The following is a 24864-nucleotide window of genomic DNA, read 5'->3' as shown; positions in this document are numbered from 1 at the left end:
GGATTGACTTTCTCTTTTAGTTTTCTATTTTTTAAGGGAGAGGGTCTCACTCTGTCACTCAGGCCAGAGTGCAGTGGCGTGATCCTGGCTCACTGCAGACTTGAAATCCTGGGCTCAAGCCATCTTCCCGCCTCAGCCTTCCAAGTGGCTGGGACTACAGGTTTGCACCACCATATCTGGCTAATTTGTATTTTTTTTGTAGGAACCAGGTCTTGCTTTGTTGCCCAGCTGGTCTCAAACTTCTGGTCTCGAGCAATCCTCCCACCGCAGTCTCCCCAAGTGTTGGGATTACAGGCATGAGCCACTGTGCTCTACCAGAGTTGATGTTCAAATTTTTATAGAGAACGAAAGAATTTCACTGGTAACTGTCAGAGCAGTCCTTAAGGATATGTCAGAAAGAAAAAAAATTATGATTTGAGATAGAAAAAATGCCAAATGTATATAACAGAAATGCACAGTAACAGGGAAGCGACGGGAAGGACAGCAGACCCAAGACACTCCATTTCTGGATGGCGTGGATGCACCATATCGTTTAGGTGAAGAAAGGCAACATAAAACATTAACATCAATTTTTTTTTTTAAAGGTTGTAGTCTATGTAAGTTTATAGAAAGTTCCCCATATTTTTAGTGATGATACCATTTTGAGAGGTGGCTTATGGAGTATGAGACAAAGCATAATTCAAAGGTGTCACTGTGATGTCACAGGGAATCAAAACCACAGGGGGCTCAATGGGACTAGGCCTGGACATGCCAAGTTATCAGGTCACAAAATCCATTATGTTTACAAACTTAAGACTTCTGCTCAATTTTTCTCTATATCCCCAAAATTTTACTAATTTAGCACTTGGCATTAAACATTATTGGCCAATAATAATAAATATTGTATCAGTAGACTATATTACATTTTGCAAAACATTTTCAGGTCCATCAATTTTGCTCTCCACATAGTCAATCATTTATTCATTCAACAAATACAGATTGAATGATAACCACATACAAACCAGCATTGGGGGTGCTTGAGAAACATTGAATGTATCATTGTCAACAGACAAAGATACCTCCCCTTGTGGTGTTTACATTTAGCACAAAAAGGCAAAACATACATAAATTAAATAAGCCTAACAATATAGTACGACGACACGTACTGTATGGGGAACAAAGAGCCTCCACTGAGCCTGGCAAGGGCGACTGGAAAGGTGAGCTCTAGATGGGCTCTGGGGGGAGTAGGGCTGTGTGGTATCACTGAGAAGCTGGATCTCAGAAGAGTTAAGGAAGAAAGGGAATAATGAGTCAAGGGGATATCAGGGAAAAGGGAATGTCAAGCAGAAGCCACAGGCGGGGAAATGGCCCTGTGATGGGAAGTGCCTGCTTTGGTGGAAACCCAGCCATGAGGCCAGGGCAGCTGGAGCAGAATGCAAAGGGAAGTGGGGGTGGGAGAGATAATCAGAGGAGGGATGGGGGTTCAGATCCTCTAGGGCCTGGGGGTTCACATCCTCTAGGGCCTGGGGATTCACTGTGAGGATTCTGACTTTCACTCTAAGTTGAATGGGAGGTCTTTGTGATGGTATCTAAGTCACTGTGATGCCAACATATCCTTGGGTGCTAAAGGAATCAGCCCAGCTGCTGTAGAGAGAATGGGAGTGGAAGGGCCTAGAGCCCAAGCAGGACCACTGTGAGGAAACGAAAGTCATAATCCAGAGGGGCAGGATGGAGTTCTGACCATGGTTACAGCAGCAGGGTGGCCAGGACAACTGAACCCCGGACATATTCTGAAGGTAGGACCAACAGGGCTTGCCGATGGACTGGATGTGGGCTGGAGAAATCAAGAAAGTACTCAATCGGATGCCTGGCTTAAGCAATCAAAAGAATGGAGTTGCCATCCAGTGACAGGGAGAAGCCTGTGGTTTTTGTTGTTGCAGTTAGGGAGAGACTTGGGGAGAAATTTGTGGGTAAGTTTTAGGCAAATTGAGTTCAAAATGTCTATTTTGATGTCAAGTGGACAGCTGAATATAAAAGACTACCATTCAGAGGAAAGGAGAGGGAAAGCCAGGAAACGGGTATGGATGTCGAGGATTTTGCTGGTAACGAAACAAAGTTCCAGAGGAAATAGTGGCAATCTTTCAGGAGTTGGAAAGGGAAAGAGAAGAGTCATTACAGGAGACACACAAAACTATGAACCTAAGAATGCAAGAGATGAAGACTCACATTGGTTTACTGACTGATATAAACCACAATAATATGCACAGTGAGACAGGATTCAGCAGAGACAGTGAGACCAGAGTACTGGGCTACACAGTGGGAAATGGATACTCCTGGGACTGGGACACTCATTCCATCCTATGGAGAGAGTAGAAGACATGTGGAGGTGTTCTCCCTCCCACCCAGGGCTTCCCCGTCTCACTGAATGGGTGGTGCCCCATGGAAGGGGTATCTCAAGCCACCCACCTGATCCCTGTGGGAAGGGATGCTGTTGCTGAGCTGAAGTCCACCTTCCCTACACAGACCTTGCATGAACGAGGGCTAGGGCACACATGGCCTGTGGAACACCAAGAAGAGGGACACGAGGATGCGTTATTTCCTCTGTTTGCAAATCTATCACAGAGAGTAGAAGTGTTCGCTCATGATCAAACAATTAAAAAATCTAGGAAGAAGGCTACGTTAGTAATATGATTGGAAGGTAAGTTAAAGATGTCAGTCGAAAAAATCTCCCTGGAAGAGAAAAACATCTTGAACTTCAAATTGAGGAGGAAAATTAAACCTTCTGCAGATTATTATCAGATAATGTTAAATAATTTGCCATTAATTAATATTTGGTTAGCATTGAAGCATTTACCATTTAAACATTTTAGCATTTGTGTAATATTTATTTATTTATTTATTTATTTATTTATTTATTTATTTATTTTTGAGATGGAGTCTTGCTCTGTTGCCCCGGCTGGAGTGCAGTGGCGCGATCTCGGCTCACTACAAGCTCTGCCTCCTGGGTTCATGCCATTCTCCTGCCTCAGCCTCCCAAGTAGCTGGGACAACAGGCACCCACCACCACGCCCAGCTAATTTCTTTTTGTATTTTTAGTAGAGACGGGGTTTCACTGTGTTAGCCAGGATGGTCTCAATCTCCTGACCTCGTGATCTGCCCACCTCGGCCTCCCAAAGTGCTGGGATTACAGGCGTGAGCCACTGTACCCAGACATAATAATTATTTAGAAGACAGTGATACAAAGAAGGCAGTAAGGTTAGCCTTCAATGACTTTTAACCTTTTTGTTGGAAAGGTACAGAATATACTTTAAAAATAAGTTAAATATTATCATGATTTCATCATCATCATTATAATGTATTTAAATGGAAAAGCTGAATTCAAACCAGCAATATCAAATATGACCTTAAATATTTACCATAACACAGTGAGGCCAGTATAATTGTTCCATGTATAGGAACCATAACAAGCAGCTAAAAGAGAGAGAGAAGTGTTGTTTGAGGTCTTTTTTCTTTTTTGAGATGGAGTCTCGCACTGGGCTGGAGTACAGTGGTGAGATATTGGCTCACTGCAACCTCCGCCTCCAGGGTTCAAGCAATTCTCCTGTCTCCACCTCCAGAATAGCTGGGATTACAGGCTCCTGCCACCATGCCCAGCTAATTTTTCTATTTTTTTTTTTTTTTTAGTAGAGACAGGGTTTCACCATGTTGGCCAGGCTGGTCTTGAACTCCTGAGCTTGTGATCCACCCGCCTCAGCCTCCCAAAGTGCTGGGATTACAGGCGTGAGCCACTGCACCCAGCCTTAAGGTCTTATAACTAGTAAATATCTGCATTAAAGAACGAGTTGAATGAAAATTCTGATAAATTCCTACTTAAAGTGTATCCAAAGAAAACGGAAAAAGTCTAGGAGTTAGTGATATTAGATTCAGAAGAATGAGCTTTGTAATTCTTAAAAATTAGTCTCAGAATAGAAAGGATTTTAAAAGTAATTGAGTAAAGTCATAGGAAATGTGACCATATAAAGGAATGGCTCTAAATGTATTAATCCAGAAGGAAGCAACAGGTTAAACAGTAAGAGGTAAGAAACAAAAAATAAGGAACAAGAGAGAGAGAGTGACAGGGAGAGAGAGACAGAGCGGGGAAGGAGAGAATGAGAAGGAAAATCAGGAAAACGAGGAGAAACAGAATTAAGGAGGTGATACTGGAATAGTATCAGACCATTCTGAATCAATTTAAGAATTGCCATGTCTAATTCTTATATGGAAGATTTGAAATACAAGGATATTGAAAGGAATAACAAATTATAATGAATGCATAGAAATCCTTATGTAATCCAAGGTCATTAATTTGAAGGAAGACATCAAGAAAATGTGATCTAGAAATAGAGGTTGAGATTGCTCCATTTACAAAATTATTATGCTCTATAATCTTCCCATATGCAAATATTTCATATTCCCTCTTTTGTCCCATGGACATATTTCACAGCAACAACGAATCAAGTGCTGACCTAAATGGGGTATCTGTTAAAACTTAGTATATTGATATCCTTCACCCCACTCCAGGAACGTTCGCTACGCTAGGACTGCATCTTGGGAACAGAATTTTAGAGATGATCATCTCTTACATCAGAAGCAGGATCTAAATGATCCCTGGATGCCCAATTTCCTGACCCTGCTATTGTTGTGGGTGGCAAGATAAGAGGAGTTGCATCACAGATGAAAAAGTAAGGCCGAAGAAGACCAGAGAAGAGTTGGTTGAATGTGTAGATATAAGATCCATCTGTGACATTGTAGAATGAAATTTCACCGGCTTCATAGTCCAAGAAAATCCCAATGCAGCGAGGACTTTCCAGTTGGAGAAGAGGCACTGATGGGGAGGCAAGGACCATGTACTCATTCCCTTTCAGCAGCCACAGGGCCCAGACCCCATTCTCAGGAGATGGCGTGGTTTCCCCCTTTCTTGGCAGTGTGTCTTGACAGACCCCTAAACCCCACTCTGCTCCTTCTCCCACCAGAACCTCCCAGTAATGCCTCCCTGATGAGAAGCTCTGCAAACCCAGGATGCAGGGCCATGTGTCAAATCGCTCAGGGTTGTTGGGGACATCCCTCCATGGTTCTCCATCCTGCACACTGCGCAGGTCGGCGGTCAAGAGCAGACTCGGGTGCGCCGTGGCGGGATCCAGCTTTACATCCACTGCGGAAAGAATGTGGTGGACCAGGTGAAAGGAAAGAAAGGACTGGTAGAAACTTAGGAAACCACTGAAAAGAATAGTCCCACAGTTCCTCACTTTTCTCTCTCTATTAACTCCTAGAGAAAACAAATCAGTATTTCACCTTACAGGTGAAATCTTCTTTATTACTTTATTATTCTTATTCTTTATAACTTTCTGGTATATTCCACTGTTACCTCTGCGTAACCCAGAACTCTTTAACTTTCCCAAAAAAAAACAACTATTGATGACGACAAACCAAGTGAATTATCATTTAGTTTCCTTTCATTTACATCTAAAGCATTTGTGTGTGTGTGTGTGCGTGAGAGAGAGAGAGAGAGACAGAGAGACGGGGTCTTGCTATGTTGCCCAGGCTGGAGTGCAGAGCTATTCATGGGCATAGCCGTGGTACACTACAGCCTCAAACTCCTGGACTCAAGCAATCCTCCCGTGTCTGCCTCCCCAGCAGCTGGGACTACAGGTGCACACCACCATGTCTGGCTTACATCCAAAGCATTTGAGTGCACTTAGGAGGATCTTCTGCATTTAACATAAAATTTATAAACCCCTTAGGAATTTTTTTCTTAAAAATCTATAGAATTTTATTAATATTAAATCCACTACTTCCAAAGTTATATTACTGTGGTAGGCGGAATTCTAAGATGGACCCCATGACCTTCACACCCTGGTGTTAGCCTCATGAGTATGTTACACTATATGACAAGAGAGAGATTATCAAGGTGCGTCTAATCAAATCCCACAAGTCCTGTAAAATCAGAAAGTTTTCTCTGGCTATTGGGTTGGTGGCAGCAGGAAAGGTCAATAAGATGTGGATTTGATATCTCTTTGCTGGCTTTGAAAATGGAAAGGTCACATGAAGAGACAAACGAGTGACCTCTAGAGCTGAGAGTGATCTCCAGAGCTGAGAATAGCCCCCAACCAACAGCCAGCAAGAAAACAGGAATCTCAGTACCGCATTTGCACAGAATTGTATTATGCCAACAACCTGAATAAGGTTGGAGGTAAGGTTCTTCCCCCGACCTACACAGAAGCCTGGCCTGGCCTGGCCAACACCCATATTTGGGCCTTGAGAAAACCTAAGCAGAGGAGCCAGCTGATCCCACTTGGATGTCTGGTCTTCAGAACCATGAGCTACTAAATGGTATGGCTTTAAGCACATAAGCTTGTAGTTATGCGTTATATAACAATAAAAAATACTGATACTCTGAAGTCCCAGTGAGATTGATGAGACATTTGACCCATATACATAATAAATAAATACATCTAGATATGAAACCTCAGTGAAGGGGGGATGTAAAATATTCAGTGCATTTCCTTATTAGCATTGCTTATAAGTAGTAAGTTAATAAATAATATGGTTTGGATGTGTATCGCCTCCCGGTCTCATGTTGAAATGTGATTCCCAATGTTGAAGGTGGGGCCTAGTGGGGGGTGCTGGATCATGGGTGCAGATCCCCCATGAATGACTTAGTGCCATCCCACTGGTGATAAGTGAGTTCTTTATCCGTTCATGCAAGAGCTGGTCGTTTAAGAGGAACCTGGGGCCTCCCCACTTCACTGCTTCCCTCTTGCCATGTGATACGCTGGCTCCTCCTTTGCTTTCCACCATGACTGTAGGTGTCCTGAGGCCTCACCAGAAACAGGTGCCAGCACCATGACTCCTGTACAGCCTACAGAACCATGAGCCAAAATAAAGCATATTTCCTTATATTAATAAATTACCCAGCCTCAGGTATTTCTTTATAGCAATGCAAAATCAGACTAACATGTTAATATAGTTTGATTTTTAATATCAGAACAAATACTGTTTCTACTGCTACTGCTACTGCTACTGCTACTACCACTACCACTATACTTATTTGCCTTTAAACACTTACAGTGAACTACTTTTTTTTTTGAAACGGAGTCTCGCTCTGTTGCCCAGTCTGGAGTGCAGTGGTGCAATCACAGCTCACTGCAGCCTCCACCTCTCAGACTCAAGCCATCCCCTGACCTCAGCCCTCTGAGTAGCTGGGAAGGCACACACCACCATGCCCAGCTAGTTTTCTGTATTTTTTTGTAGAGAAGGGGTTTTGCCATGTTGCCCAGGCTGGTCTCGAACTCCTGGGTTCAAGCAATCCATCCGCCTCAGCCTCCCAAAATGTTGGGATTACAGGCGTGAGCTGCCACGCCCGGTCTAGTGAATTTTTATTGATACCCAACCTGAGTGGTCACGTAACTGCGCATTGCATTATTTTTATTATGTAACCACCCTGAGGGTCACCATTGTCATCCCTACATTACACAAGAGTAGATTCAGAGTCAAAGAGTTTATGTGGTCTTCCCAAACTCTAGAGGTAAATAACAGAGATTGAAAGGTAGGTCTCCATGGATTGTGCATTTAACACAATCTAACAGGTCATGTATTCCCAAGCCATTCCTCTTCCGGCACAGTGGTCTGCTTCATTTCTAACAAAAGAGATCTGTGAAATGGCTTTTGATATGGTCTGTATCCCATTCCTCTCCCTACCCCTTCTCTCCTAAACTCAATTCTTCATCATGATGTGACCATACCCCAACCAAACTGCGCATGTCCATCTTCCCAGGGACCTCCGTGTTGATGAATGGTTACTTGTCAGTTTGTCTTTTTTTTAAGATGGAGTTTTGCTCTTGTTGCCCAGGCTGGAGTTCAATGGCATGATCTTGGCTTACTGCAACCCCCATCTCCCGGGTTCAAGTGATTCTCCTGCCTCAGCCTCCCGAGTAGCTGGGATTACAGGCATGCACCACCACGCCTGGCTAATTTTGTATTTTTAGTAGAGACAAGGTTTCCTCAGGTTGATCAGGCTGGTCTCGAACTCCTGACCTCAGGTGATCTGCCCGCCTCGGCCTCCCAAAGTGCAGGGATTTACAGGCGTGAGCCACCGCGCCCGGCCCAGAGTTCATCTTCAATGATTTTTCTGTATCTCTCAACACTGAGAATCTACTTGTGCTGGAAAATCTCCCTTTTCCAAAGGTAACACTCATCCATGTTTCCCTTCCCTCACTGCTCACTACTCCTTGATCCTCTTTGCTGTTCTCTTCTCCTCCACCACCACCACTGGAGAAACCTATAGTCCCAAGACTTGGACTTCTTCTCTCTCTCTCACCTCACTCCCTATCTACCCGGGTGCTGGCTGGTTCATTGCTTTGATAAAATTCCATTCATATGCTGACTGATTCCCAATGCATGTGCTTAGCTTTGAACTTTACCCTGAAACTCCCTATTGTACATTCATCTGCCCACTTGATAGCAACATTTGAATATTTAGCACTCATCGCAACATCCACATATCCAAAACCCTGTGCCCTTCTTCTGCTTCAACTGTCGCTTTCCTCATCAATATAAGTGGCAATCACATTTTGCCAGTTCGCAAGATCCAAAACCTTGGAATCATTCATGGCTCTTCCTGTTTATAGCACATCATATATAATCCAACAGCAAATCTTAACAGCTCTGCCTTCAGTATATAACAAAAATCTGTCCATCTTGCGGCACCTTCCGTAATAACATCTATTCCAACACATAATCATCTCTCATCAAATTACTGCAAAGACCCTTAACTGCTTTTCCCATGTCAATCTTCTCCTCTCTGTAATTTACTTACAAGAAAGCATATAGAGTGATCCTCATAAAACATTAGTCCAATCAAACTATTTTTCTAGGTACAACTTTCAACTATGTCCTATTTCGCTCAGGGATAAAGTATCATGCTCAGCATGGCCTGCCTATCTAGCCCTTTCTTGGTCTCTCCGACCCTCCTGTCATTTACTCTGCCACAGAGTCCTCACACTGACATCCTCACAGCTCCTGGAACACACCTGCCATCCTCCACGTCAGGCCTTGGCGCTCATTTCTGCTGCCTGAATGCTTTCTTCCAGATCATATATTTGCTGGGTTATCCCCTGCAGGGCGGGGTCTTTCCTGGTCACCTTATTCAAAACTAGAACTTCTCATTACCCTTTGCATACTCTTTTTGATTTTCTTCAATATTCTGTGTCAGCCACTTACAGCCTGTGTATTTTGGTGAAGTACATATCTGCAACACAAAGCTACGGATTGTAGAGTATTTTGTTGTTGTTGTTGAATGATATATTCCAATGTTTAAAAGAATGGGTGAGATAAAATTAATCACACATTTTGAATGATTTCATTCCATAAAAACAAATATGGATATGAGGTTGCTGAGTCTGAGGGTGCCATGACGATTTTAATCAAGTTGGGCATTTAGCATACATTCATCTACCCAGGAGAACGTGGGTACTATGCTGCAGAGATGGGTTTTCTCATTAAGGGACTTTACACTCTTTCCCTCTAAGTAGTGAAGTCACTATTTAGACATAGTTTTCATTACTTGGGATAAATTAGATTTTAAAATGAAATTGTAAACAATACTGAATCTATACTGTTTTAAAGAATAATACAATCAGACTAAACACACTAATTTTTTGTGACACTGCTTATTCCTACATGAAAATAACTGACAATATTTTTGGCTTTATTGACTCACTAATTCAAGCAACTCATCAAATTCTCAGCCAATAAATTAAACCAAACTTCTTGCTAATTGATAACTTTGCAGTGCTTTCATATTGATTACTTTTAGGAGGTGGGGTGCTTTCAAATGTTTCATTTTGTCCTCCAAGCAATTTATTTTTAGCATTTTATAAGCAAGGAAATGTAAATTTACTGGAAGTAACGTTACTCATATCAGCTAATAAGAGATGACCTACAGTTTTAAGCCCATAGTCTAACCAAATGTAGACTCTATGGGTGGCCGTGACTCTGATACTGCTCATGAATATACTAATCCTCGTTCTTCTGGGCGTGGTGGTGCAGGCTCTATGGGTGGCCGTGACTCTGATACGGCTCATGAATATACTAATCCTCGTTCTTCTGGGCGTGGTGGTGCAGGCTCTATGGGTGGCCGTGACTCTGATACGGCTCATGAATATACTAATCCTCGTTCTTCTGGGCGTGGTGGTGCAGGCTCTATGGGTGGCCATGACTCTGATACTGCTCATGAATATACTAATCCTCGTTCTTCTGGGCGTGGTGGTGCAGGCTCTACGGGTGGCCGTGACTCTGATACTGCTCATGAATATACTAATCCTCGTTCTTCTGGGCGTGGTGGTGCAGGCTCTACGGGTGGCCGTGACTCTGATACTGCTCATGAATATACTAATCCTCGTTCTTCTGGGCGTGGTGGTGCAGGCTCTATGGGTGGCCGTGACTCTGATACTGCTCATGAATATACTAATCCTCGTTCTTCTGGGCGTGGTGGTGCAGGCTCTATGGGTGGCCGTGACTCTGATACTGCTCATGAATATACTAATCCTCGTTCTTCTGGGTGTGGTGGTGCAGGCTCTATGGGTGGCCGTGACTCTGATACTGCTCATGAATATACTAATCCTCGTTCTTCTGGGCGTGGTGGTGCAGGCTCTATGGGTGGCCGTGACTCTGATACTGCTCATGAATATACTAATCCTCGTTCTTCTGGGCATGGTGGTGCAGGCTCTATGGGTGGCCGTGACTCTGATACTGCTCATGAATATACCAATCCTAATTTTTCTGGGCATGGTGCACTCTCCCACGGAAGGAGACCAGGGAATTTTACCCTAAAATATGGCACCCTGGTATGCCCATTATTTTAAATTAAAGGCCCTTGGAGACCATCACACACTGTAAGAAGCTTTATTCTAACACTCATTTATCTGCCTGAAGTCCCTGCATTTTAATTAATTTAGCTCATATTGCAGGAAGACAGACAAGTCTATCAATACACCTGGACAGACTTTAGTCACAAACCACTGTCTACTTTTCAACACTTTGTCCCAAGCCACTGTATGCACTCCAAGCCCAATGAATCCTCCAAAAAATCATTTACTATCTCCCTAAAATCATCCACACCTCCCCATCTCCCTTTCCTCCAATAAAGAAAGGTATATAAGCATCTGTATCCCACTGCGTTATTGGGTCATTACTCTCCTGCGATTCCACTGTGCTATGAATGTTAGACTTTTTCTATGCCTTTGTTCCTATTTGTCTTTGGTCAGTTGATTTTCAGCAAACATTCATAGGGAAAGGGGAAAGTTTTCCCTTGCCCCCTACACTGTCTCCTTGATAGTTTGACTTAGCCATGAAATCTCAGGAAGGCCAGATGCTCTAATTCAGCATGGGTACCTTTAAGAGGAGTGCATGAGTCACCATGCCTATGATACTGTGAAGTACGTATTTGGTCTACAGTGCAGGAGGCACCATACCTATGACACTGGGAAGTATATATTTGGTCTACATTCACCATGCCTATGATACTGTGAAGTGTGTATTTGGTCTATATCCTGTTTACTGACATACAGTTCTTAAAATCCTTGAAATTTCCAGAAATACAAGAGTGTCTTTTGTAAGCTAATAAGATGAATTGTGGTTGGTGATTACCCAGAAAGCCTCCCACTGGGTGTGGTTGCCAGGGGAACCAACCATGTGATTAGAGGCTTGAAACTTTCAGTCCTTCACGCCTCACCCCCCCCCACCTCTGAAGAGGGAGAGGGGCTTAAGGGTGGGTTGGTAAACCAATGGCCTATGATCTAATCAATCACGTCTACATAGTGCTTCCATAAAAACCCAAAATAACTGAGTTCATTGGCCAGGCACAGTGGCTCACGCCTGTCATCTCAGCACTTTAGGAGGCCGAGGCAGGCAGATCATTTGAGGTCAGGAGTTCGAGACCAGCCTGGCTAACATGGTGAGACCCCGTCTCTACTAAAAATATAAAAATTAGCCAGGCATGGTGGCATGTGCCTGTAATCCCAGCTACTCGGGAGGCTGAGGCAGGAGAATCGCTCGAACATGGGAGGTGGAGGTTGCAGTGAGCTGAGATGGCGCCACTGCACTCCAGCCTGGGCGACAGAGTAAGACTTCATCACACACACAAAAAAAAGAACTGAGTCCTGAGGACTTCCAGATCACTGAACACACGGAGGTTCCAAAGGTAGCAGGCCTAGAAAGGGCGTGGAAGCTCCGTACCCCTTCTCACAAACCTCGCCCTAAGAATCTCTTCCATCTGTTCATCTCTAGCCTCTGTAACGCCCTTATAATAAATGAGTAAATATGTGTCCCTAAGTTTTGTCAGCTGTTTCAGGAAATTAAGTGAACTCAAGAAGAGGGTTGTGGGAACCCCAGTTTACAGTCAGTTGGTCAGAATCACAGACCACAACCTGTGCTTGTGACCAGCATCTGAAGTGGGGTCAGTCTTGTGGGACAAAGCCCTCAACCCGGGGAACCTGGTGCTATCTCCAGATAGATAGTGTCAAAATCAAATTGCATGGAAGGACATCTGGCTGGAGTATCTGCTGGAGAACTGATTGGCTGTTTGCGGAGAGAAATCCCCACACATTTTGGTGACCAGAAGTGATGTGTTGTATTGACTCTGGAAGAGAACTTCTTCCCCCATCTCTTCAATAACCCTGCCCTTTTCTATGGCTCCCAGCACCAAGAGGGAGGTAGAGCTCTGTCAGTATGGGTACCAGAGTGAGAAGATGTGGCACAGAAGTCCCCACACCTAGGAACAAACCAACAGCACACTCTCAAAATAAATTTCTGCTGATCTGGGCCACTAAGACTTTAGGTTCTGTTGGTCACTGCAGCTGACTGGCATAGTGACAAACCACAATACGAGGCAAACCCCAGGCAGCCTCATTCCCAGTCTCTAAGATGCAACTACCTTGGAACTTCTTCAAACCCCAGGCAGCCTAATTCCCAGTCTCTAAGATGCAACTACCTTGGAACTTCCTTAAGAGCTCCCTCCTCCCAGGGATGCAGCATGCTGTCTTCAGTTCCATGGGGATGTTCTCTGCTTCCAGCCTTGTGACAGCCTTACTTCTGGGAAGAGCACAGAAACCACAGAAGTCAGCAGGGTTCTCCACCAGCTCCTCTGCCTCTCCCAATCCCTTCACCAATTCAGAAAGCACACATACCTGCTCAGGACTCCTCTCACACCCTGAAAAGGAAAGAAAAACACAGTGTGAGTTGGACTCTGAACTGCTTTTCACAGTCAGACTGAAGACCCCATAAAAATTTCCTTAGAAACTACTGCAAAACATTATTGAGATAAAATTATAGGGGACAATAAATCTCTTTTCTATTTTTTTTTTGAGATGGAGTTTCGTTCTTGTTGCCCAGGCTGCTGGAGTGCAATGGCGCAATCTCGGCTCACTGCGACCTCCACCTCCCTGCCTCAGCCTCCCAAGTAGCTGGGATTACAGGCTCCCGCCACCACGCCTGGCTAATTTTTTTTATTTTTTTGTATTTTCAGTAGAGATGGGGTTTCACCATGTTGGCCAGGCTGGTCTCGAACTCCTGACCTCAGGTGATCCACCCACCTCAGCCTCCCAAAGTGCTGGGATTACAGGCGTGAGTCACCACACTCAGACAAATCTCTTTTCTTTAAAGCTATACAAAGTTTAGGTTAATTCCTGCAACACCTATCAATTTAATTATCTTCTGAATTAATAATTCTGCTACTTGGATATTGTAACAGAGTAACATTCTGCATGTAATTCAGACGGAACAGGATAAAATAGATCCTAAGTACTCATAGAATTTATTTGAGGGGCATGGATAGGTTCCTCAAATAAAGACACAAAATGTTTCCCTAAATATCTTTATAGGAATTATAAATTCCTAATTCTCTGAACCAACGTACCAGAGCTATTCCTATGAGGAGGTTATCTAAATAGATTAATAAAGGAAGCCTTTAATAACTAGTAACATTATTTTCTCAAAGTAGATTATTAAATAAATATATCTGTGATACATTTATTATATTAATAATTGTATTTGGGATACATTTCCCCTCTCCCCTTAAAAACAGTTGCCAGTCAGATAAGTTTTAATGACATAAAAGCAGGGGAATAATTTGCTTTACCCTGTATGGGAATGTCAGGCCTTGGTCTTGGCCTTCAGGGGTAAAATGTAGCTTATTAGTACCAGGGAAGAAAGGGAAAGGAAAGTATAAAAATATACAGCCTGGGCAACACAACCAAGCCTCATCTCTACTAAAAATTTGTTTTAAATTAGCTGGGCGTGGTGGTGCACACCTTTAGTCCCAGCTACTCGGGAGGCTGAGGCACAAGGATCACCTGATCCTAGGAGACTGAGGCTGCAGTGAGCTATGATTGAGCCACTGCACTCCAGCGTGAGTGACAGAGTGAGATCCTGCCCTTTTAGAAAAATAGATAGATAAGATACCTTATTTAAGAATATATCCTCCCATGCCAGGCGGGGTGGCTCATGCCTACAATCCCAGCACTCTGGGAGGCCAAGGCAGGCAGAGCAATAAATACTATTGTTGAAATTGTCAAGCCGGGCACAGGGGCTCACGCCTTTAATCCCAACACTTTGGGAGGCCAAAGTGGGCGGATCACCTAAGGTTAGGAGTTCAAGACCAGCCTGGCCAACATGGCAAAACCCCATCTCTAGTAAAAACGCAAAAAAAAAAATTAGCCAGGTGCGGTGGCACATGCCTGTAATCCCAGCTACTCAGGAGGCTGAGGCAGGAGAATCGCTTGAGCCAAGGAGACAGAGGTTGCAGTGAGCCAAGATCACACCACTGCACCCTGCACTCAGCCTGGGCAACAGAGCGAGACTCTGTCTCAAAAAAACAAAAGAAAAGAAACCGTCAAAGTTCTTGTATTTTGCTCTCTGCTATTTGGAAAATTAATTCCTTTCTGACTCTTAGTTTGCTAACAAGGAAATGAACATAGCAATAATAATAAAATATAAATTTAATATATATAAGATAAAATGAGACAAATTAAATGGCTTTATAAATTCATCTAATGGTCCCCTGCCTCATAATCAGTCCTGTTTAGTCATTGTACTTGCAAATATTATACAGACAGTTAATAGGATTATTTATATTCATGGTACTTTCAGTGCCTAGAACTGAGTCAGAAAAGGTGGAATCCGTGGGTCAGCTTTTAAATGAGAACATGCATCACTTAGTTTAGAATCCCCTGCGTGAGTCACTGGGGAGGAGATAGGAGTCGGTCCAGATAAATTTCTGTTGCCATTGGTTCTACCAAGAAAACATGGATCTATCAACAACTTTGGCTTTCCCTGTTCACTTGGGATATGATGCCTCACAGAGGATTAAAAACAAAGATTTCCTTTCACTCTTACTCGTCTTTCTGCTCTCTAATCCCAAACAGACTGGGAGGAAGCTGCACGGGAGTCCACGTAATCCCTCCTCGCCATGCCTGGAACGGGCATGCAATGTGGGCCAGGAAATCAGTGTTTGCTTTACAATCCAATATAACAATTTCAAGCTGGACAATTTAAATCATTATTCATCCTTCTGGCCAGTGACACTGAAATGTATTATGCAGACTTTCTGTGCTAGCCATCCCTAAAAAACAGCAATGCTATCATGGACAAACTGACTCTGAGGTTTTAGGAATTACTTCTCAGCCAGCAGAGTGTAGCTTGTCCTTTCCCTAGCTGTTTAAGTTTTCAGAAATCATTAATTTTAAGAATTCTTTAGTCCTTAAAACAAACTATATGCTGTTTGTTTGTTTTTTGAGACAGGGTCTTGCTATGTTGCCCAGGAAGGTCTCGATTTCCTTGGCCCAAGCGATCCTCCTGTCTCAGCCTCCCTAATAACTGGGACTACAGGCATGTGCCACCATGCCAGACTCAAACTATATGATTCTCTAGAATCTCATGATTCTGATGCCAGGAATGGCTTCTGAGTAAATTCTAGGGTGTTTAAGCTGCCTTCTGAGTAAATTTGAGGGTGCCCTTTTCCTAAAGAACATAAACGCCAAAGTGTTTGTCTCTGAAAGCCATTGTACTAGTCTCTGTCACCTGAGTCTCACATCTGCCTGCTTTTCTGGCACCCGGCCTCACCTCCAGCAGACCCAGGGCCGGGCGCTGGCACCTCTCCTGCAGCTCATCCGCCAGCTCCTTCAGGGCCTTGCTCTGCTGGACCAGCCGGCTCTTGCTCTCCCGCAGTCTCTGCAGCGTCGCTCGCTCCTCCGCCTCCAGCCGCCTCAGCTGCCGTTGCTCCTCCTGGGCCAGAAAGCCACGATGCTTCTCAAACTCCAATCTGAAGCGCTGCCTCTGCATTTCCACTTTCTCCTGAGGTGACACCGTGGATCACATCGTCAGTGCTTGGCCTCCAGCAGCCATGTACAGGACAGTGCTGGAGAAGGTAATGTCCAGACTTCCCCGGGCTCCGTAACTCTGTGGACTCACTGGTTGCATCCTAACAACATGCACAGACTGGAGTCCATTCATATAAGAAGTAGCCCAGGAGAGTTTTCAAATTAAGTTTAAAAAATACTGTTGGACTGGAGTTCCCATTTTGCCACAGGCTTGGGGGCAAGGCACTTTTATACTGAAGTTTCAGTACCATATACAAAATGTGAGGTTTTGGGGAGGTCGAGGCAAGAGGAGTGCTTGAGGTCAGGAGTTCAAGACCAGCCTGGGTAACAAAGCAAAATGCGACCCCATCTCTAAAAAAATTAAAATGAACCGACCAGGCATGGTGGTAAGCCCTGTAGTCCCAGCTACCCACAAGGCTGAGGTGGGAGGATCACTTGTCTAAGAGCTCGAGGCTGCAGTAAGCTGTGATTGCACCACTGCACTTCAGCCTGGGTAACAGAGCAAGACTCCATCTCTTAAAAAATGTGGGGAAAAAGAGGAGTATGTGGATTACAGCTAAATATCTATTAAACTACAAGAACAGTGATTAGCATAGAGCAGTCACACAGCAGAAGTTACTATTTACTACTAGATCAGTCGCTAGAACCACTAGAAACAACTGAATGATGAAGAAATGTTTGTTTGAATAAGAAAAGGCTGAGAGATGAGAAAATATGAATGCTGTTTCATAATATGGTAATAGTGAACACAACCATAAGCCTAACATTCTCTACAAAGCCAAGAAAGAACTAAGTGATGCTCAGGCCACTGATTTCAGAGTTCACGTCAGAGAATTAATCCCAATTTCTACCTGAATCTCACGTCTTCAGTTTCTGAATAGACCTAAGGAACATACTTCGTCCCAGGCTTAGTTTCTAGATTTTCTTCTCTCAAGATAAGTATATCGAAAACTAACTTTAAGCTGAGTACGAGAGGTAAATTATTCCCTCAAAGTATCTATACCTCCCATTCTCTGTCCTGTTTTATCGATTTATTTTATTTTTTGTATATATTCATGGGGTACAAATGCAGTTTTGTTACATTGTTATACGGCCTTGTAGGTGAAGTCATTTGCCTGGTTTTTTTTTTAATCTTTTTTTTGAGACAGAGTCTCGCTCTGTCACCCAGGCTAGAGTGCAGTGGCGCGATCTCGGCTCACTACAACCTCCTCCTCCTGGGTTCAAGTGATTCTCCTGTCTCAGCCTCCCGAGTAAGTGGGATTACAGGCACGCAGCACCATGCCCAGCTAATTTTTGTATTTTTAGTAGAGACAGGGTTTCACCGTATTGGTCAGGCTGGTCTCAAACTCCTGACCTCACGATCGGCCCGCATCGGCCTCCCAAAGTGCTGGGATTACAGGCGTGAGCCACTGTGCCCAGCCTATTTGCCTGTTTTTAAACGTGATAACTTCTTGCTTTGACTAAAAGGCATGAGCTATCACCTTTTTAAACTAAACATCCCCTAAGACTTAACTACTTCCTTCCATTTTCCATCTCTACCTCCTTCCACCATTTTCTAAATCACCAGATTCAGAAAACTTCATCTTCTTTCTGAAATCAGCCAAGTCTGAATTCCATACACTGATTCCTGAAAGTGTAACTCATGTAAATATGAGAAGCTCTCTTCATATCAGAGGCTGTGCTGTCGTGGGGTGGGGCAAATAACGCAGCCACTGGAGAAGGGTAGAGTCATACCTGGGGCACGAGGGGGTGTGAGGTGGGAAGGTGGGAAGCGATTTGCCTGCAATCCATCTTCCTTTCACACCACCCTCTTGAGCACAACTATATCTGCAGACAGAGAAAAAGGAAAGGTGGTTTTGCAGTATTTAGAATAACTTTTGACCAAAGATGTGTTTGCTGCATTTGGCTCACATGGAGACATTCTTGATGGTAATGATCATGCAAGTTTACTTGGCTTAGAACAGGGATCTTAGTATCATCCCTACTTAAGAATAATCTGTAGAGGGCTTAAAACATGCAGGAACTCAGCTCTCCGATATGGGGATTCTGATTTTATAGATCTATGGTCAGGCCAGGATTGAAAACAACTGACTTGTATTTCAGCCTGAAAAGAACAAAAATTATCAATCAATATTACAATATTAAATAATGTACATCCTACCACTATGTACATTATAGGCAAGTAATGAACATTATTTAATACTGTAAAGCTTTGTTCTTGTTCTTTTTATCTCCATTGCCACTACCCAATCGAAACTATGCTTTACTAGCTTGATCTTACTGCAGAACCCACTGCTATATCCCTATCACCTAGAATTGCATCTTATACTGTCACTACTAGTTTAAAGATATTTGTTAATAATATTGATAAGTTTGTCAGTATCAACGTTAATAAGTTTAAATATTTCTTCACACATCTGAGTAACGTTAGGTACTAATGTTATTAACATCAATATTATTTAATATTGATAACTTTTATCCTTTCCTATCACTATCTACATCATTTACCTATAATGTACATTTTTCTTTTCTTTTTTCCTTTTTTTGTCTGAGACAGAGTTTCACTCTTGTTGCCCAGGCTGGAGTGCAATGGCACGATCTCAGCTCACCACAACCTCTGCCTCCTAGGTTCAAGCAATTCTCCTGCCTCAGCCTCCCGAGTAGCTGGGATTATAGGCATGTGCCACCACGCCTGGCTAATTTTTTTTTGTATTTTTAGTAGAGACGGGGTTTCTCCGTGTTGGTCAGGCTGGTCTCGAACTCCTGACCTCAGGTGATCCACCTGCTTCGGCTTCCCAAAGTGCTGAGATTACAGGTGTGAGCCACCACGCCTGGCCTTAATGTACATGTTTCTTCTGGGATAAGTGTTATCTTTTCCTATCCGTATATATCTATATTGTAATCTAGTAATGTAGTAAATAAAGAAAAATATAGTTTAAAAAGTCTTTATGTAATATCTGTATAAAGACAGAGTATAAGACTAAATTTTCAAAGAAAACAAGAAGGAAATAATTATAAATATATAGAGTGATCAGAAAAGAAGGGTTATTTGGAAAAGGAGAAAGAATAGGAATATTCTGCAAAGTATAACCTATTATATATCATATTATATAATACATTATATGAATATATAGAACTATACACACAGTTTCTATACGTAGTTTCTCAATCTTGACACTACTGACATCTTGAACAGATCATTTTTTCCTCACAAGATATGGGAACTGTCCTGTGGACTACAGGGTGTTAAGCTGCATTCCTGCCTCTACTAGATGACAGGTGCACTGCACCCACCCCTCCTCAGTTGTGACATCCAAAAATATCATCTCCAGAAATTGCAAAATGTTATCTTGGGGGGCAGGTATCGCCTCAGGTTGAGAATCACTGTGTGTGTGTGTGTATGTGAATCACTGTGTGTGTATGAATCACTGTGTGTGTGTGTACACGTGTGCACGCACATGTGCATGAATGAAACATGGAATAAAAAGAGCTAGTGAGGTATAAAAAAATGGAATATGTGTATGTATAGATGATAGAAAAAAAAGGCTAAACGTTCAGATTATTACCCTGTATATAAGATGATCACCTTGGGCTACACTTCTTCTGTTACAAAGTTGTGAAATATTCATTATTTCATTCACCTAACAAATATTTTCAAACTGGTAGCAACAGTATAAGATGCTATTCTAGGTGACAGGGATACAGCAGTGGGTTTTACAGGAAGATCAAACTAGCAAAGCTATTTAATTATAATTTGGATTGGGTGATGGCAGTAGAGACAAAAAGAACAAAAATGAACCATATCATTTGAGGGGACGGGATGACCCAGGATGGCTCTGAGGTGCTCTTGGGCATATATGGAGATGGAACAAAAGTGCTGGAGAATGGAAGATGGTAGAAGAATTACTGACCCGAATCTGGATCCTTCAAACAGGCAAGCCTCCTAAAGCCCCAACATGGTCTTACCTTCCAAATGACAGTCTTTTTCCCCACGTTGGCCTCCTGAGTCAAGGCGTCCTCCAACTCTTTCCTCATAAGTTCCAGAGCCATCTGGAGCTTTACCTGTTTGGGAACATTTCAGCTGTTACAGATGCCCTCAATCTGTACCTAACGTCACACAGATGTGTGAGGAAATACAAAAGTCAACTTAAACAGTCCCTAGAAAGCACATAAAAATGTTCAATATCATTAAAAACTAAACATAAATGTACTTAAGTTTTAGTGTCAGGGTCTCGCTCTGTCACTCAGGTTGTGCAGTGTTGCGATCATGGCTCACTGCAGCCTCAAACTCCTGGGATCAAATGATCCTCCCACCTCAGCCTCCCAAGCAGCTAGGACTCCAGGCACACATCATTACATTCAGCTAATTTTGTTTTCTGTAGAGATGGGGTCTTACTATATTGCCCAGGCTGGTGTCAAACTGCTGGCCTCCAGAGAGTCTCCCATCTTGGCCTTCCAAAGTGCTGGGATTATAGGCATGAGCCACTGGGCCTAGCTCCTTAAATGTATTTTAATACCAGATACAATCAAATATTTATCTAAAAGTATGCTCACTGCATTGTTATATACGATAGCATAACTAAACTAAAACATTAAAGATAGGGGAGAAAAAAATTATATTAACTGGATAGAATTAAAATAAGATGTTACAGAATGTTTAATGACTAGAAATACAATGATAATGTCCAATGAATAAAAATATTTTACAAAACAACATGAATTTTGAAAAAAAATGTGCTGGTAATGAATATATTAAAACTGGGCTGATGTAAATGAGAATGATATTAGATAAAATGTCATCTATTGGTGTTTGGATGAAGAGTGATGCTATTATATCTCTATATTTCATATATTTCTCTATATAACTATATTTATACATTTCTCTATATTTATATATTTCTCTATATAACTGTATTCTGTATTTCTCTATATAACTTCAACTTCTTGAAGTTATTGGTTACTTTATGATAAAGCATGGGTTTATTATTGTAGTATTAGTAGTATTATTAGGTCAGAAGGAACTTGGTAGGTTATCATATTTTATATGAAAAAACACAGTATGTTGTAAACCTTGCAATGAGTAAAAATACAATGAGAACTAAATCTTCCTTCAATGATAGGGCGCTCACTAGAGGTAAATATGTGTATTTTAAATACTCACAAAGATACATACATAAACAGGATTTTAATTAAAAAATTATATTCCCAAAGTTACTCAATAAATCCTACATACACATCAATTGTTTTTAAAAGGAGAATATTATAATTGTTATATATAAAATAACAGTAGAATTCATGATACCATTTGACTCAGTGGGGAAAGTGGCATGTGTTTTGGTGTTTACAAAGAACGGAGCACTTTGACACTTGTAGATAAAGAAAAGCTCCCTCAGGCCAAAGAAACTGTCAGCAAAAGCAAGGAGATGTAGCACAGTTAGGAAAACAGTGATTCGGCTAAATTTGCTGGGTTTCCTGGCTGGTTAAGACAAGAGAGCTATGGAAACATAACTTAGGGCCCTAGAAAGCTTTCACTGAGAGGCTCAGGAGTTTAGATAATATTTATTTGGTATTTAACCGAAGAACTACTGAAAATATGGAGAACACCTTTAGAAATATTACACTAGAGGCTGGGCTGCCTGTAACACCAGCACTTTGGGAGGCCACGGCGGATGGATCACAAGGTCAGGAGTTCAAGACCAGCCTGGCCAACACAGTGAAACCCCGTCTCTACTAAAAATACAAAAATTAGCCGGGTGTGGTGACGCATACCTGTAATCCCAGCTACCCGGGAGGCTGAGGCAGGAGAATTGCTTGCACCAGGACCCGGGAGACGGAGGTTGCAATGAGCCGAGATTGCGCCACTGCCCTCCAGCCTGAGCTACAGAACTAGACTCCGTCTCAAAAAAAAAAAAAAAAAAAAAAAAAAGTTACTACCAATCCTCTTTCTGGACTTTTTTTAAAAAGGCAAGAACATTCCAGAAAAGTTTAGCTAGAAATTACCTAGTACTAGTACCTACATCTCGCAAATGACAACGAAAATCAAGAAGAAATACCAAGAGAGATATTGGTAGAGAAGGAAGGGGAAAATATCCTAAACCTTAATTTAAAACAAACAAAATAAATAAATAAAAATTTTAAGAAAGTATTTGCAATGCACTACAGCGCGACTGACAGTCCTTTGGTTAAATCTGTCAGTAAAGACGACTTAGACCTCCTCTGTGCTGGCAGTTGTTCTACATGCTGGGATTCAAGTGTGTTCAGAAAACATCCAAGAACTTTTGAAGGGCACCAGTAGGAAGAAATCGACACACAATTTCACAGATGCCACTCTGGGGACCAAATACTCCCATTTTGTTTTTCTTCTTTCTCTTTGAAGCTTCCCGGGCTACACCCCAAATGAAGCACCTCTTCATTGAGGATGTTCGAATCCTAAGTCCCCAAATCCCTGCTGATGGAGAGCCACCCGCTCCTACTTCAGGAGGCACGTGCACCTGAGCTTTGGAGGGGTCGGAACCCGTACCCAGCTCGACACTCTTCTTAACAACGCCCAAACCCGAGGGTTGCTTTGCTGACAACACTCATTTAATGTAAACACTGTGCAAAAGCAAAGCATTGCACAAATGAGAATTATTATGGCAAGTTTACGATATAGACGTACAATTGTTACCAAGAATGAACTGGACCACACAGCCCTCCCGACCAGAGCCCAGCTGAGGGACCAGACTATCCGCATCGGGAGAAACCAGCCCAGCGCGAGTTCGACGACAGGAGAGTGCTTGGGGGAGGGGCGGACGGTGTAAAATAATGGGTGTGTGTCGCAAAGGGGGTTACCACAGCCAAGGCAAAGAGACCCACACTGAGTGAGCCGCGTGGGCGGGGGGGACGGCGCGCGGTGGGGGGAGCGGCCGTGGGAGCCGCTCAGGAGACGGGTGGCCTCGGCGGCTCCGCTCCGGACTGTCGCCCGCTTCCCGGTCACCGCAGCGCCCGCAGCCCCCGCCGGGGGGCGCCTCACCTGGTAGCTGCCGGCGGCCTCCTGCAGCGGCGCCGTGCGGTGCGTCCTGTGCTCGGGGCCGGCGTCGCACACCCAGCACAGCGCCGCCTCGTCCTCCTCGCAGAAGCGGCTCAGGTCCTCGCCGTGCCGCGCGCATCGCCGCGCCCCGGGCCCCGCGCCCAACCCCAGCCGCCGCACGCTCTCCACCAGGCCCGCCAGCTGCCGGTTGGGGCGAAAGCCCGAGGGCCGGAAGGGGCCCCGGCACTGCGGACAGGCGTAGACGCCGCCCTGCGCGCCGTCCGACTTCTCGCAGAACTCGGAGATGCACCTGAGGCAGAAGCTGTGGCCGCAGTCCACGCTGACCGGCTCCTGCAGGAAATCCAGGCACACCGGGCACCGCGCATCCTCGCGCAGCCGCTCCCCGGGCGGCGCCCAGGCCATGACCCGCCTCCCGGAGGGCTGCGCTCCCGGCCGCCCGCACCGTCTCCCCTCGCGGTCTGCACAGGGGGAGGAGCCCACGCCCCAGGAAAGCAGGCGCCGACGGGTGGTGTCCGCTGGCTTCAGTTCAAGAGCTCAGACGAGCCACACCCGGTGAAAAGCCACCACTCAGGCGCTCCCTATGTCGGGGATAAAATTAACGTTGTGGTTCCCCGCCCCCGTCACACACACACCCAGGAAACTGGGCATTTCTAACTGGAATCCCTCCTCATATGCTATTTTCACTGGCAGTAGATCTGGAGAATTGCTAAATTCCCTCCTTCCTTCCATCTTTGTTTGTTTGTTTTTGTTTTTGTTTTTTTGAGAGGGAGTCTCGCTCTGTCGCCCAGGCTGGAGTGCGGTGGCGCGATCTCGGCTCACTGCAGCCTCCGCCTCCCGGGTTCAAGCGATTCTCCTGCCTCAGCCTCGCAAGCAGCAGGGATTACAGGCGCCCGCCACCATGCCCGGCTAATTTTTGTATTTTTAGTAGAGACGGGGTTTCACCATTTTGGTCAGCCTGGTCTTGAACTCGTGACCTCAGGTGATCTGCCCGCCTCGACCTCCCAGAGTGCTGGGATTACAGGCGCGAGCCACCGCGCCCAGCCTCCATCATCATTATATAGATTTAGTGCAGATTTCTGGGGTACCAGTGCAGTTTTGTTACATGGAGACACTGCATAAAGTCTAGGCTTTAGCGCAGGCATCGCTGTGATAGCGTAAATTGTTCTCATTAGGTGATCTCTCATCCCTCGCCCGCCTTCCACCCTCCGAGCCCCTTCCATTGTTACTGAGCTACTCCATGGTCCTCTCATGCCATAATCGTTTCTTAAAAGGCTTTCCCCCTTTATATGGCATAATCAATTTTTAAATGTTTTTTTCAAACTTCATTTTTTTCTCTTGCACTAATTACCTCTTGATAAAGAAATGAGACACCGCCTGACACGGGAAGATGCCTGCATAGGTGTGTGTAACTATAGGTTTACAGCCCAGCCAAAAATAATTCTA

At 43.9% G+C, this 24864-nt stretch overlaps 1 protein-coding gene across 1 annotated transcript; it reads right to left on the bottom strand.

Moving 5' to 3' along the window:
* Positions 1–931: 931 nt before the first annotated feature.
* TRIM58 (tripartite motif containing 58) lies at positions 932–23883 on the bottom strand. Its single transcript, NM_015431.4, has 6 exons — positions 23404–23883; positions 20358–20453; positions 16135–16365; positions 13203–13225; positions 13007–13107; positions 932–5170 (listed from the first exon to the last, which is right to left on the bottom strand). Exons 1-6 carry the CDS (start codon positions 23821–23823, stop codon positions 4581–4583), a joined length of 1461 nt encoding a protein of 486 aa, NP_056246.3. The 5' UTR covers positions 23824–23883; the 3' UTR covers positions 932–4580.
* Between the last annotated feature and the right edge of the window lie 981 nt (positions 23884–24864).

This window comes from Homo sapiens, chromosome 1, assembly GCF_000001405.40.
Source record: "Homo sapiens chromosome 1, GRCh38.p14 Primary Assembly".
Lineage (NCBI taxonomy): Eukaryota > Metazoa > Chordata > Mammalia > Primates > Hominidae > Homo > Homo sapiens.
The sequence above is the reverse complement of the archived record's forward strand: the minus strand, read 5'-3'. Positions and strand labels throughout refer to the sequence as shown.

Bases quoted from the DNA above. Each gene is read 5' to 3' on its own strand.
- TRIM58 (NM_015431.4), bottom strand. From the start codon at position 23,823: ATGGCCTGGGCGCCGCCCGGGGAGCGGCTGCGCGAGGATGCGCGGTGC. The intron at 13,226-16,134 runs GTGAGGCCGGGT...TTTCCTTTTCAG, and splicing joins CGGCCCTGGGTCTGCTGGAG to GGTGTGAGAGGAGTCCTGAG. The intron at 5,171-13,006 runs GTAGTTGCATCT...TTCTTTCCGCAG, and splicing joins GCTCTTAAGGAAGTTCCAAG to TGGATGTAAAGCTGGATCCC.